Raw genomic sequence first — 15,181 nt, 5'->3', positions numbered from 1 at the left:
CTTTAAACCAACAAAGATCAAAAGAGACAAAGAAGGCCACTACATAATGATAAAGGGATCAATTCAACAAGAAGAGCTAACTATCCTAAACATATATACATCCAATACAGGAGCACGCAGATTCATAAAGCAAATCCTTCAGGACTTACAAAGAGACTTAGACTACCACACAATAATAATGGGAGATTTTAACACCCCACTGCCAATATTAGACAGATCAATGAGACAGAAAGTTAACAAGGATATCCAGGACTAGAACTCAGCTCTGGATCAAGTGGACCTAATAGACATCTACACAACTCTACACCCTAAATCAACAGAATATTCATTCTTCTCAGCACCACATCGCACTGATTCTAAAATTGACCACATAATTGTTAGTAAAACACTCCTCAGCAAATGTAAAAGAAGAGAAATCACAACAGTCTCTCAGACCACAGTGCAATCAAATTAGAACTCAGGATTAATAAACTCACTCAAAAATGCACAACTACATGGAAACTAAACAACCATCTCCTGAATGACTACTGGGTAAATAACGAAATGAAGGCAGAAATAAAGATATTCTTTGAAACCAATGAGAACAAAGACACAACATACCAGAATCTCTGGGACACATTTAAAGCAGTGTATAGAGGGAAATTTATAGCACTAAATGCCCACAAGAGAAAGCAGGAAAGAGCTAAAATTGACACACCCTAACATCACAATTAAAAGAACTAGAGAAGCAAGAGCAAACAAATTCAAAAGCTAGCAGAAGGCAAGAAATAACTAAGATCAGAGCAGAACTGAAGGAGATCGAGACACAAAAAACCCTTCAAAAAAACATCAGTGAATCCAGGAGCTGGTTTTTTGAAAAGATCAACAAAATTGATAGGCCATTAGCAAGACTAATAAAGAAGAAAAGAGAGAAGAATCAAATACATGCAATAAAAAATGATAAAGGGGTATCACTACCAATGCCACAGAAATACAAACTACCATCAGAGAATACTATAAACACCTCTAGGCAAATAAACTAGAAAATCTAGAAGAAATGGATAAATTCCTGGACACAAACACCCTCCCAAGACTAAACCGGGAAGAAGTGGACTCTCTGAATAGACCGATAACAGGTTCTGAAATTGAGGCAATAATTAATAGCCTACCAACAAAACAAAGTCCAAGACCAGATGGATTCACAGCTGAATTCTACCAGAGGTACAAAGAGGAGATGGTACCATTCCTTCTGAAACTATTTCAATCAATAGAAAAAGAGGGAATCCTCCCTAACTCATTTTATGAGGCTAGCATCATCCTGATACGAAAGCCTACCCATCTGACAAACGGCTAATATCCAGAATCTACAAAGAACTTAAACAAATTTACAAGAAAAAAACAAACAACCCCATAAAAAAGTGGGCAAATGATATGAACAGACACTTCTCAAAAGAAGACATTTATGCAGCCAACAGACATATGCAGAAATACTCATCATCACTGGTCATCAGAGAAATGCAAATCAAACCACAATGAGATACCATCTCACACTAGTTAGAATGGCAATCATTAAAAATCAGGAAACAACAGATGCTAGAGAGGATGTGGAGAAACAGCAACGCTTTAATGCTGTCAGTGGGAGTGTAAATTAGTTCACCCATTGTGGAAGACAGTGTGGCGATTTCTCAAGGATCTAGATCTAGAAATACCTTTTGACCCAGCAATCCCATTACTGGGCATATACCCAAAGGTTTATAAATCATTCTATGATAAAGACACATGCACATGTATGTTTATTGTGGCACTATCCACAATAGCAAAGACTTGGAACCAACCCAAATGTCTATCCATGATAGACTGGATTAAGAAAATGTGGCACATATACACCATGGAATACTATGCAGCCATAAAAAAGGATGAGTTCATGTCCTTTGCAGGAACATAGATGAAGCTCAAAACCATCATTCTAAGCAAAGTATCACGAGAACAGAAAACCAAACACCACATGTTCTCACTCATAAGTGGGAGTCGAACAATGAGAACACATGGACACAGGGTGGGGAACATTACACACCAGGGCTGGTCAGGGGGTGGGGGTCTGGGGGAGGGATAGCATTAGGAGAAATACCTAATGTAAATGGCAAGTTGATGGGTGCATCAAACCAATATGGCAGATGTATACCTGTGTAACAAACCTGCACATTGCGCACATGTACCCTAGAAGTTAAACAATAAATAAATAATAAAAAATTTTTTAAAAAGAACACATTTATGCAGCCAACGAACATATGAAAAAAAGCTCATCATCACTGGTCATTAGAGAAATGCAAATCAAAACCACACTGAGATACCATCTCATGCTAGTTAGCATGGTGATCATTAAAAAGTCTGGAAACAACAGATACTGGAGAGGATGTAGGGAAATAGGAACACTTTTACACTGTTGATGGGAGTGTAAATTAGTTCAGCCATTGTAGAAGACAGTGTGGTGATTCCTCAAGGATCTAAAACCAGAAATGCCATTTGACCCAGCAATCCCATTACTGAGTACACACCCAAAAGAATATAAATCATTCTACCATAAAGACACATGCACACGTATGTTTATTGCAGCACTACTTACAATAGCAAACACTTGAAACCAACTCAAATGCCCACCAATGATAGACTGGATAAAGAAAACATGGCACATATACACCATGGAATACTATGCAGCCATAATAAAAGAATGAGTTCATGTCCTTTGCAGGGACATGGATGAAACTGGAAACTGTCATCCTCAGCAAACTAACACAGGAACAGAAAACTAAACACTGCATGTTCTCACTCATAAGTGGAAGCTGAACAATCAGAACACACGGACACAGGGAGGGGATCATCACACACCGGGGCCTGTTGGGAGGTCTGGGGAAAGGGGAGGGAGAGGATTAGGACAAATACCTAATGCATGTGGGGCTTAAAACCTAGATGACAGGTTCATAGGTGCAGCAAACTACCATGGCACATGTATACCTATGTAACAAACCTGCATGTTCAACATATGTACCCCAGAACTTAAAGTAAAAAAAATATATATAGCAGGACTCAAACTACTACTTGCTCATGAATATTCATAACATTCACAATAGCCAAAAGGGGAAAACAATCCAAATGTCCAAGAATGGATAAATGGATAAACAAATTGTGCTACACACAAAAAAATATTATTTGGTCACAAAAAAGAATGAAGTGCTAATAGACGCTACAACTTGGATGAACCTCAAAAATTATGTTAAATGAAAGAAGCCAGACCCGAAAGGTCACCTGTTGTATAATTTCTTGTATATGAAATATCCAGAAAAGGCAAATCCATACAGACAGAGAGCAGATGAGTGTTTGCTAGGGTATGGATGGAGAGGGAAACAGGGAATGAGTGCTTGATGAGTATAAGGTGTTATTCTGGGGTGATGAAAGAGTTTTAAAACTACAGAGAGGTAGCTATTGCACAATGCTGTGAGTGCTCTAAATATGACTGAATTGTACACTTTAAAATGGTTAACTGTGTGTTATGTGAATTTCATATAAGAAAAAAACACCATACAAGTTCTACTCATTAGAGCTTCACCATTATTTGAAAAACTTGAAAAATTACATTTGTCAGTAAAAGGAAGGAAAGAGCTATTAGTTTTTAAATGTAATTTCAATGACTGCAAACTTTTCAGTCATCTTAAAATTTGTTTGACATGTTCTATCAGATACATATTTGGACAAATTTTCTCATTAATGGTGGTTCTTAAGACTTTAAGGAGATCATCATTAGAATGTCTTGATCAGGAATTGCATGTAGCTGTTTCAAGCATAGGATTAAAAAAATGTATTCGTAACATTTCAAGTTTCTCCTTCAAACATTCGAAAAGATTTTTTGGAAGTTCTTTTTATTTACAAATTCACTATTTAGCATATCTATCCTCTAATACCTTTTGTTACATCTTTCTTATCATTATTATACAGTATAAGAATGTTTCATTTTTTTACCAAATGCCATACTGGAATTAATCCTAATTACTTCCAAATTTATAAATATACTAACTAAATATGATTATTTTCTATGTGTACCATAATATGAAAAATGTTAAAAAGTTAAGTATCTGCACCTCAAAATAAATTCAATACTGTACCTTTTATTGCTAAGTCTTGTATCCCCAAGTAGATCAAAATTTGCTCAAGAAATGTGATGATGCCTTCAATTGCTATACTTTTATATTTTCCATAACAGTGTGAGTAGCTCAATAAATCCCTGTTGAACTGAACTGCATCATAAGGAAAATGTTCCACTCTGTGAGGTTAGTGCAAGCCTGGCCTTGAGCTGTTTACTTTGCAACAAGCATAACACCATATCCAGAAAGACTTACAGTAAATATTTGACTGTCTAGAAAATCTCAGGAGCTCTCTTACTTTTATTCACTTTCAACTGTGGTCTTCCTATTTCCCCAAGCCACCAGAAGGCTTGTGTGCCTTAGGCTGGAGCCACATGTGCTCATGATTATTGACTGAAGTTGTGTCCCCTCATGGAACATTAGCCTTGAACTGGTGTTGTCATGGGACCATGGACAATCTACTCAACAAACAGGAAAATGAGATTGCTCCTCCATGGAATTGAAAATCAAATGGAGATGAAAAAGTCTATTTTATAGAGATCTGAAAAATACCTCTTATTTCAACACTCTCTCCTTGTGAAGAAGAAAAAAAAAAAACCTGTGTGTTTTGATTTGCTAGCTTGTTTCTTATTGAAAAATAAATCAGAAGTTCCAAATTGACCAAAATTGGAAATTAACTATATTTGCATGCTCCACTGCCAGAAACCATGCCAGGTGTTTTCTTCTACTAACACAACAGAAGCAGGTGGGGAGGATCTCAGCTGAGGCAGGAGGAAGGGGATATGCCAGGCCAGATTTAAATGTGGGTACACATTTCTATAAAGTTTGTGTGGTCATTTTAAAATAAAACTTCATTATTTACCCTGTTTACATGAGTTTTTAAAAATTATACAGAATAAATAATAGCTCATAGAACAAGAGAAAGGACAAATGAGGACTAACTGAGATTATTGCCAAGTCTGAAGGCTATTTTTACAAACAGAATGAGAGAGGAAGGGGTCAGGATATATGGGCTCAGTCTCTTTAAGTGTCCAGCATTTCCACCAAGGGGCTCTGAACAAACCTCAGAAGCATATACCTAGTTAAAGCCAGCCACAAGCACTTATTTCTGGAGAGACTTTCATGTCTCAAATTGAACATGCACTTAACCATTTTTCTATTCACATTGTCGTTGGTCCTCACAGCAGGAACACATGCTGTGCTGTACATCATGGCTGCTTGGCCCCGAGGAATCAGGCCCCTAAAACTGTCTTTGTTGCCCATGGAGTTGCAACTAAGACTAAGCTATTTCTGGGATTTTTGACAGTAAACTAGCTTATTACTGAGATATTAATTGAAGGGGAGGCTGAGAATGGAAGAGGAAAGTGTGTTAAGCCAATGGCACTAACCTTAGAAGAAAATGAGAAATGATTTCCACGAAGCTGAGGACATTACTCTTGAGTCATAGTCTCCTTACTATGCCATCCACATTTTACCAAAAGGAGAAGGAGGGGTGAGGGAATGTTCGGAGCCATAAATAATTTTTTTCTATTTCTGAAATCCAAGGTTTTCCAGCAAGCATATTTCAGTCTAAGATGTGTTCCCTTTCAAACAGGGACACATTGAACATAGCTTGCTGGATGGGGAAAGCAGTGTAGAAACCACAGCTAATTCCTCTACTTTACAGATGGTGATGCTGCCCATTGTTTCAATTCACAAAATAAGTTGATGTGAGAAACCTGGGATTTTTGGCCTTCAGACCTGTTCTCTTTCCACCTCACCACATTCCATAATCAATGACAAATTTCAATCCTAAAATGCATCTTAAACAGGGAACTTTTCTGTTTCCATTAAACAGAACTTCACAAAGGGAGGAAAAATACCCGTGGGCTAAACAACAAATTAATTATATTTATATAAATCCATCCACCAAAAACCTATTTTATTTACAGTCTGTGCTTGCCTAACTACTCTTGTGTGATTACATAACTCACATTATTGTTTATCAACATGTGTTAAGATAGAACTTTCTATATTTTATTAACCCTGAAATTTTCGGGATAATGTTATAAATTTTGACAGTATTTGTTGAGGTTAAAGATAAATTGGTGCAGTTTAGATAGTATGATAACCAGGAACCAAAAAATACTCAAATCCCATTCTATCAACCCACCCTCTTCCCTACATGCTCCTGAGGAACCAAACAGCCAATGAACCCATCCTACTAAAAGTCCGTCAAAGGCCTTAGATGCAAAAAGCAAAGAGCTTTCTGTCTTAGACTTGGCGGAGCTACCTTACCAGGCCTAAATAAGTGTTCTACTTCTCATTACAAATCAAAACCTGAGAACCATCATGTTCAGACATGTTCCAGGGAGAGTTGTTGAATCTATACAAAAGACCTTGGCTTAACTGGCTCTCTCAGAGATAGAAGGACAGAGGCAGAATAGAAGAGTATGTTCATGAATATGAATTGCCTTTTAAGGCAGCGACCTCGCCCATCAGTGAACATGGTATAAGATGTGTATATAGTGTAACTATGGTGCAAGACATGGGAAATCTGAAATCAATATATGAATTTAACTTGAGATTGCCTTAGGGCCTTACTGGCAAGGGTTCAGATTGGAGAAAGCCACTAAGCACAAACCACCTTGGCCAATTCCTGCCTGTCTGACTCTAACGTCAAAGAGAAAATGTGTCTGAGTCTAGCTCACCCAGAGTTTTGGCAGGATATTTACACCACTCTGGAACAATAGCAACAGTGAACTTTCCCTTTGAGTACCCCCAGGTCAAAGCTCATCTTCCAGGAGAGCACTCAAGTTAATCACTGGCAGCAGATTCTATTCTCCAAGTCAAAAGCAAACAACTCCCCCCAAGTCTTCACTAAATATTCCTGGAAAACCTCTACTCCAAGTTGGTTTCACAAGTCCTTGCTGTTAAAAAAAAAAAAAAAAAAAGAATATCAAACGTGGGGCATTGACTAAAACAGTAGATTGAAACTGAATCATAGAATTTTTTAGCATTCTAGTTATTTTTTCTTCTTAATTTTTTGCATTATTTCAATTTGCAAAAAATAAAAGATACATATATATAAATGCACATAAGCCTGTGAGATTTACAGGGACCCTAAGTTGTTTCTTAATTGCCATGATACCTAGGCTTCCAACTCTCAACTATACGAACATTGCTTTCCATCTGGTACTGGTCACTTACTATGTTCAAGGTACTAATCTGTAAGAAGTATTGTGAGGAGTATAAAAATATACAAGACCCAGTTTAGGCTCTTGAGAATCTCACTATCAAGTAAGAGAGACAAAAAACATCACAAACAATAATATAAAAGCTGTTAAGGCAGTTTATCCTAACATTAAAAGACCGAACTTCGGAGTAATAACTACTGGGTTTAAATCCCACTTCAGTCATGTATTCGCCTGTGGACCTTCAGCAAAGATATTGACTACTCCGAACCTCAGTTTCCTCACCTGTAAAGTAGAAGTAATATAAAAATAGTATCAACATTATGATTTTTTAGGGGTTAAATGATTTTTTTTCCATTTTCCAAGTTAAAATGGCTGGTTCATATTAAGAACTCAATAAATTTAGCTATAATTATGTAAAGGGTGGCATGAACAAAAATATATTAAACAGATATATGCTTAAAAGACAGACCCTACAATCACTGAACAAGTCCAATTCTTGGCCCTCTTTTGATAAGTGACAGAGAGAGAGAGAGAGAGAGAGAGAGAGATAGAATAGACAGAAAGATTAATAGACAAATAGATAAGAAAATACCAAAACCAGCTTTCTTTCACCCAATAGAACTTTGGGAGATAATTATCTCCCATTATCACATAAAGAAAAATATAATTTGTTTAAATTACAGCTAGTGCCCATCTTTATTTTCCTAATTTCCTGTCTAGGGCAGTGCTAGTTGTTTGATTGCCCCCCATAGTGGAATATTTCCTTCTTCTTTCTTTGATTGGAACGCTCTTTGTGGTGAAGATTCTAAGACCAGGTCCACACTAATGCGAAAATAAACATGAGGGTGTTTTAAGTAATTTAAAAAATATTGATATAAAAAGCCCATCAAATCAGTATACTAAAAAGGGGTGAATAATTCCCAAAAGTCTAGAATTCCCAAATCTCAACAATCGTGCTAGAATGAACTATTCTCTGTATTTTTTAGAAAGGTCTAACTAGTATAAATTATCATTGTGGGTTAATTCATTTATTAAAAATTATTAACTGAATACTTATAGTATGCCAGGTGTTGTTATAAGTATCAAAGATAGAACAGAACAAAACACAGCAACAACCCATTTTTATAAAATTAATATTGGCAATTCAATATCATTGGGTTGGCTATGTGCTTAGAATGACCTTTGTAGCACCATAGGGAATACTAACAATATAAATGTTACTGAGTACTGATCTCCTGGTGCTTTATATCTCAGTAAGCCATGGAGGTGGAGTGAAAATAAGATTTGCTGATATGAAGGGGCCCATTGCAATGTAAAGCAAAGCAATCAATGCAAGACAAAAGTTTAAGGCAAAACAAGTGGCTCAGGGTATCACAGTTCAAAAACCTGAATGTGCTTTGTACTTAGTAGGCATATTTGAAAAGTAAATTCTTCTTTAAGCAAGCAGAGTTTTTGAAAAACAAATTTGTGGAAGTTGAGAAGGACCAAGAAAAATTAGAAAAATGGTAGAATATACATAATCAAAATAAGGTGGGTTACAGTGTCTCTATTATTGCTTATCTACTTGCTTGCTCAAAGAAGAATACTCTATAATTTACTAAAACTGGGAGTAAAATAGCACTTTGTGGCCCTGAAACTTTGATGTAACCTTGTTATTTAAACTCATATTGGCAGTTACAGGTTAATATTGACTAAAGCATTCAAATTACACAAAATTGTATTTTATGTAGCCAAGTAAAGTGACTGCCAAATGCGTTGGATTTATGTCCAAGTTTAGACCTAGCCAATTTGCAGACTGCCTGACACTAAACTTACTTGATTAAATTTTCCAGTCTCACTGTTTTCCAATAATGGTTTCTAAACTACCTTATTCATATAGTTAAAACGGCAATGAAAACAATATTTTTTGGTGGGAGGGCAGAGTATGAGTGAAGCTGTTTTGTTTTTGCTTTCTTAATCTTTTCTTCCTTTTTTTTCCTAAGGTCAGAACATCATTTCCAAGATTTAGTTTATAAAAAGAGGTAAATTCAAGTATTTCTAATAATGGAGTCAAGTGGATGGGGCTTGCTATTATGTTTTCAACACTTGTTAAAAGCCAGGACTGAGGGATGGCATTATGGTTTATAATCAACAATTCTAAGAACTAGAACTTTTTTGTATGGAATCTGGTTTCTCTCCATCAGTTTCATCTTTTTCCACTACTACAAAAAACTTACTGCTTTCTGATACTTTAACATTTTTATTTTAAACACTTTTCAGCATGCTTGGTTCCTTAAATACATGCTTCCTTCCCTTACTGCACTTATAATCTTTTGACAGAAACCGATACACTAATTGTTTAAGATCATAATCTAAAGCGCAACTGCTAGGTGTGACCCAAGTTTGAAACTCTCAAACTTCTAAATTCCAAGTGAAAAATGATTGTATTCTGGGTAGAGTTGCCCCTAAACATCTTTCTACACAAGATGACCAAGTATACATCACAGATCAGTAGTTAAATAGCTACACTTAAAGCCCTGGAAATGAATATTGAAGAAACCCAGTTTGCATATTAAGAAAAAGGGAAATAACATATATTTTGGAAGAAAGGTCTAGTAAGCCAAGGAATCTAGCTTCTTAGGAAAATTGTTATTTTAAATATGGGCTAAATTGATCTGAGTTCTACCACAATTACCGATACATTTAATGATGATAAACAAATAGGCAATGATCACAGCTCTGTTAGAGTAGCTGCTAAACATACCTGGAGGTAAACCAGAATGTGAGCTAGAAATTGACCTGCTGTCCAATATGAGACAGAAGTCCTTAGGGCCCCTGCAAAAAGCAATGCAAAATCTACAAAGTTTGTGGCAGCAGATGGAGGGGCTTTCTTAAGTCACAATAGTGTGTTCTATATCACAACAGTGGTATTCAATAGATAGTGCCACCATTGTAACTAACTACATAAATTGTTAGCAAGTTATGAAATTTGAGGAGGAAAAGAGAAGGTTGGAAATATAACCATGGGGCCAGCAAACCTGCTGTTGCCCTCAGCATATTCATTTATATTGGTGGCCAATGACACTGGAAATTCTCCAGAAAAGCAATCTCTCCACTTCAATTTCGGAAAGTGCTCTCATAAACGAGGCATTTTCCTCTAAGAACTAACCCCTGCTTAGCTTTTAGAATTCCTATTCTTAATTCTTATAAACCAGTTTTAAATAGTTATTCACTATACATAAAATATATTTGCTGACAGCCTAGTAATTCTCTAAATGATGTCACCAAATCCTCAGACAGAACCAAACCTCTAAAAGAACCTACCTCCTCATTTCAACAGACAGAATGAGAGCCCATTGGAATGCCAACAGCTGTGGCCAAAACAAATATCATTTCTTCTAAAATTAGTGTGCTTCTATTATAGTGTCTTTGGGCTCTTGCAGGGGAGGGGTCCCGGCTGTTCTTCAGCACTTCCCCAGACAGTTAATATACTGACAGCTAATTTGCAGAGTTTGTCCCTGCAATAAGTCTGGTATGATTAATTGACTCACAGCACTGCTTGTGTACAGAAAAACAACACTGTTGACAGTGATTGCTAAATGCCAAAATTTTAAAACACTATGTATGACAGATAGCCCATTCTGCCTTGTGAACTAACTGCCTAGAAGAGTTGGGGGTGGGTGAAAATTGGGAATGAAAAAGTGGAAGAGGTAAAGAGTAATTATTTACTTTTCACTGTGCATGGAACACTATATATTATGCAGCAAAATGAACTTAACATATGCTCCATACACTGCAGGTAATCTATTGGGTAAAACAACCTGAAACCCATGAAAAAGACCTTAGGACATGTCTAAGCAACATTCTAGTGAATGTCTCTACAAGCACTACTTTACAGTCTCAAGGATGGTTCTCAACCAGAAACAATTTTATGCACCACGGGACATTTGGAAATTGTCTAGAGATATTTTTGGTTGTCACAGCTGAGGAGGATGAGATTTACTAGCATCTAGCGAGTAGAGGCCAGAGATGCTGCTAAACATCCTACAATGCACAGAACAACCCTTGACAGATAATTATCTGACTCAGAATGTCAATACTGCTGAGATTGAGGGACCCTGCTCTAAAAACAGTACTATCCAGTAAAATTTTAATGTGAGCCACATATGTCTTTTTAAAATTTCTGTTTTATTGTGAAATATAGAAAAAAAGAAATGGGAAATTAAATTAATAACATTTTATTTAACCTGATATATCCAAAATATTATAATTTCAACATGGAATCAATATTTTAAAATTATTCAAGTATTTTATATTCTAATTATTTTGGTACTAACTCCTCAAAATCCACTGTCTTTTGCATGTATAGCATACCTTATTTCAGGTTAACCACATTTCAAGTGGTATTGTAAAGTGTATTTCTCAAGGTTTAGAAATACATATTTCACTTTGTTGGTCTAGAAAAAGCTGGGGCTCTTCAATTTGCAAGACATGAGAGAAGTCCTCTCCCAAGCTTATACCAAAGATTTTTCTAGTTCTAAACAAGTGCCATGACAGACAAAATTGAAGATGCTGTTTGGAAAGCCTCAAAGGGTCATACATAAGAAGCAAGTGGATTTAAAAAAAGAGTTGTCTACCACAGGCTGATAAATATTGACTTCATTAACTGAATGGTACCCTAAAACTTAAAGTATAATAATAAAAAAAAACTGAATGGTAAATGAAATTGAATAGGGTACAGCCAAAGAACATTTCTGAATGCTTGGAATATACAGCACATGAGTCCACTTACCCACATTTGAATTCTTCAGAATGTATTAAAACTGGTTGTCTAACCAAAACATTGTAAGTCTTAAAGCCTCTTTTTCTTCCACCCAAAGTGTAAAACAACTTTTGAATAGCAAATTTAAAAGTTTCAAGTCCCAGATCAATCAGTCAGCAACACTTATTTAGCTAGCACTGTACATGGACCATGATATTATGCAATAAAAGGGGATTAAAAACAGCTCCTTTGAGTTGCTTACAATCTGCCTGGGGATAAATAAATGGTAACATATGAAAACAATTTTAGGTCATTTACAATGCAACATTTTACTGAATGCTTCTATAAACAATACTTTATACTCTGGGGCGTTTTTAAATAATATAGTTCCCTTCGTTAATGTAGAAATAGCTGAATATCATCGAAATCTATTAAAATTTACTGCCCCTAAATCAGTCTGCTAAGCCAATTACAAACAATTGAGTGCAGGTTTGTTTTGGAGCACACGAGTGTAATTAAATAGTTTTTTACTCTTTTAAAAAAGTTTCTCATGTTATATTTTCAGAAAAGGGAAATTTCATGGCGAGATTTCATAAAAATTTTGACCATACGAATGTCACAAAATAGAAAATCATTCTTTCTCACCTCTATTCTCAAATTGTAAACAGATTCAGATGTGCATACAGCAATGGCACCTTTATGAGGTAACAGGTGAAACCACACTTTTATGAGGATTGGAGGACCCAAACCACAAGATAAAGTTTGTGTCTTCTTTTGTCCCGAGTTTAATGCCAAATATATCCTGAAAGTGGAAAACACACTGTCATTTGCATATATTTATCTAGCATTTTTGTAAGCAAGACAAGAGTCTGAGCATAGTTCTTAGAACTTTTAGCCAAGTACAGAAATAGTTGTGAATGTGGGCAAAAAGGATACACACTGATTCACTATGTGGAAAAATCATCTCAAGCATCTAGCTAGGCAAAGATAGCTAGAAATATTAGATCTGTGCAAAATGTACCTGAAATTCATTCTACTTAATCACATTTTAATTCAATGCTTCGTATGCTGTTTTCTAAATGAATAAAATTATTAGTTACAAATAATGAAAATCACAATTGGGTAAATGGTCAGACTTTAACTCTTTAGGGTTTAAAATTTTTCTTTACAATTCAACAATGAAAAACAAATAATTATCCTCAGCAAAGTAACACAGAAACAGAAAACCAAACACCACATGTTCTCACTTATAAGTGGGAGCTGAACAGAGAGAACACATAGACACAGGGAGGGGAACGACACACACTGGGGCCTGTCGGAGGAGCGGGGTGAGGGGGAGGAAGAGCCTTAGGAAAAACAGCTAATGTATGCTGGGCTTAGTACCTAGGTGATGCGTTGATAGGTCCATCAAACTACCATGGCACATGTTTACCTATGCAACAAACCCGCACATCCTGCACATGTACCCTAGAACTTAAAATACAAATAAAAATTTTAAAAATGGGATAAAGGATATGAATAGACATTCTTCCAAACAATATATATAAATGGCCAATAAGCACATGAAAAGATGCTCAACATCACTAACAATTATAGGAGATTAAAAAAAAAAATTTCTAGAGTGACATAAGTAAGATGGCTGGCTACAGACACCTGGCCCTCATTCCCCTAACAAGAAAGGACCAAAGCAGTGAAAAAACATCTAAGATTTGAATGGAGTGTTGAAAGGAGAGTGCTGGAGGGCAGTGGGGATGTAGAGAGACAGCTGTGGTAATTGGAAGCACAGAGGAAAGTGTGGATGCAAAGTCTGCAACCTCATCTCCCTCACCCCCATCTGATCAGTCTGTAGATAGGAGAGACTTCCCCTTTTGGGGAAAAGGTAAGCAGAAGATCCCCACCAGGCCCCACTGCCATCGCAGACACCTACAGTTCTTACTACAGAATCCCACCGTGCTTGCAAGCCCTGAGCCCGGTTTGGAGAGCTGCCAGAAATTCACAAAGCTGCACTGCTCCGGATTGGGAGGGTAAGATGCGCACTCCCCACCCTTCACGCACTTCCTGTGAGTCAAACTGCTATATCACCATACCACCTTGAGATCAGAGCCACCTCTCAGGCGTGCGCGCCTCTGGGATCAAGTAGCCAGTGCACTTCTCTATCACTGGGGCTCCATCTTTATTCCAGCAAGCTCAGAAGGGTGGCTGAACACCACAAACCCAGCTTTGCAGAGCATAGGCCCAGGATCAGCTGCAACTCTGGCCCTGCACAGCAACTCCTGCTATCTGCACTTCCAGCTGGAGGAACAGTTTGGCAGTCCTACCCAGGGCAAACCCACCCTAGAGCCAGCCAAACTAATGCTTGCCATTTCTCCCAATCAGGAGGGGTCCCTGAGTCACCAAGCAGACAGCATACCCATAGGCTAGTGGTAAAGCTGCATACCCACATCCAAGGCCTGAGAACCAGCCTCATGGCACCTTCCAGACATGCCCCTGGCATACCCAAAGTCCCCACACCAACAACCAGGGTCTCAGTAAAGTCTTATAGACAGCCCCTAGCAATGCTCCCCCAAGCCAGCTGAACATCTCTGTGGCCCACATCCTGAGCCTGAGAAACAGCTCCACAGATTTCCCATGGTGGGCACACCCCCCAGGCTAGCAAAGAAGCTGTGTGCATATGCCCCTGGCCTTAGAAACAGCCTATAGACCAACCCCAGCAAACACGCCCCCAGGCCAGCGAAGCAAATACATGCCTGTGCCCCTGGCCGGAGTAACATTCCCAATCCTAGTGGCCAGAACTCAAGCTGGCCACCATGTGCACACATGTTCCTTTGACTTGAGAAATAAGCTAGCCCACCATGGCAAAGCCACACCACCATCACCACAAAATCTCAGCCTAGGCCACTGAGAAAGTCACAAATGTCACTGGCGTGAATTATGGCTGAAGGAACTACACAGAGACTACACTACTACATCCACCTGAAACCAAAGCCAATGCACCCCATCGAACCAGCACCCCAAGTCCCATTCATAATCAGTCTTTCCCTATAAAATCTATTCTATAAAATTGGAACAGGCAACTGATCCACCAGATGCATAAAAATCAACGTAGGAGCACATCAAACATAAAAAAGCAAGAAAACATAATGCCTCCA

The 15,181-nt window shown here is 37.5% G+C and overlaps 1 long non-coding RNA gene across 5 annotated transcripts in view; it reads right to left on the bottom strand.

Moving 5' to 3' along the window:
- The window catches only part of SLC38A4-AS1 (SLC38A4 antisense RNA 1), a 268,904-nt gene that overhangs the window by 68,490 nt on the left and 185,233 nt on the right, over positions 1–15,181 (bottom strand). Inside the window, exon 3 of one of the 5 annotated variants that reach the window (NR_125377.1) lies at positions 12,678–12,834. The exons of the other annotated variants lie outside the window; for them this stretch is intronic. This is a non-coding gene — a long non-coding RNA (SLC38A4 antisense RNA 1). The remainder of the gene's footprint in view (positions 1–12,677; positions 12,835–15,181) is intronic. 5 annotated transcript variants of the gene reach the window in all.

This window comes from Homo sapiens, chromosome 12 (assembly GCF_000001405.40).
Source record: "Homo sapiens chromosome 12, GRCh38.p14 Primary Assembly".
Classification (NCBI taxonomy): Eukaryota; Metazoa; Chordata; class Mammalia; order Primates; family Hominidae; genus Homo; species Homo sapiens.
This window is presented reverse-complemented; position numbering and strand designations above follow the sequence as displayed.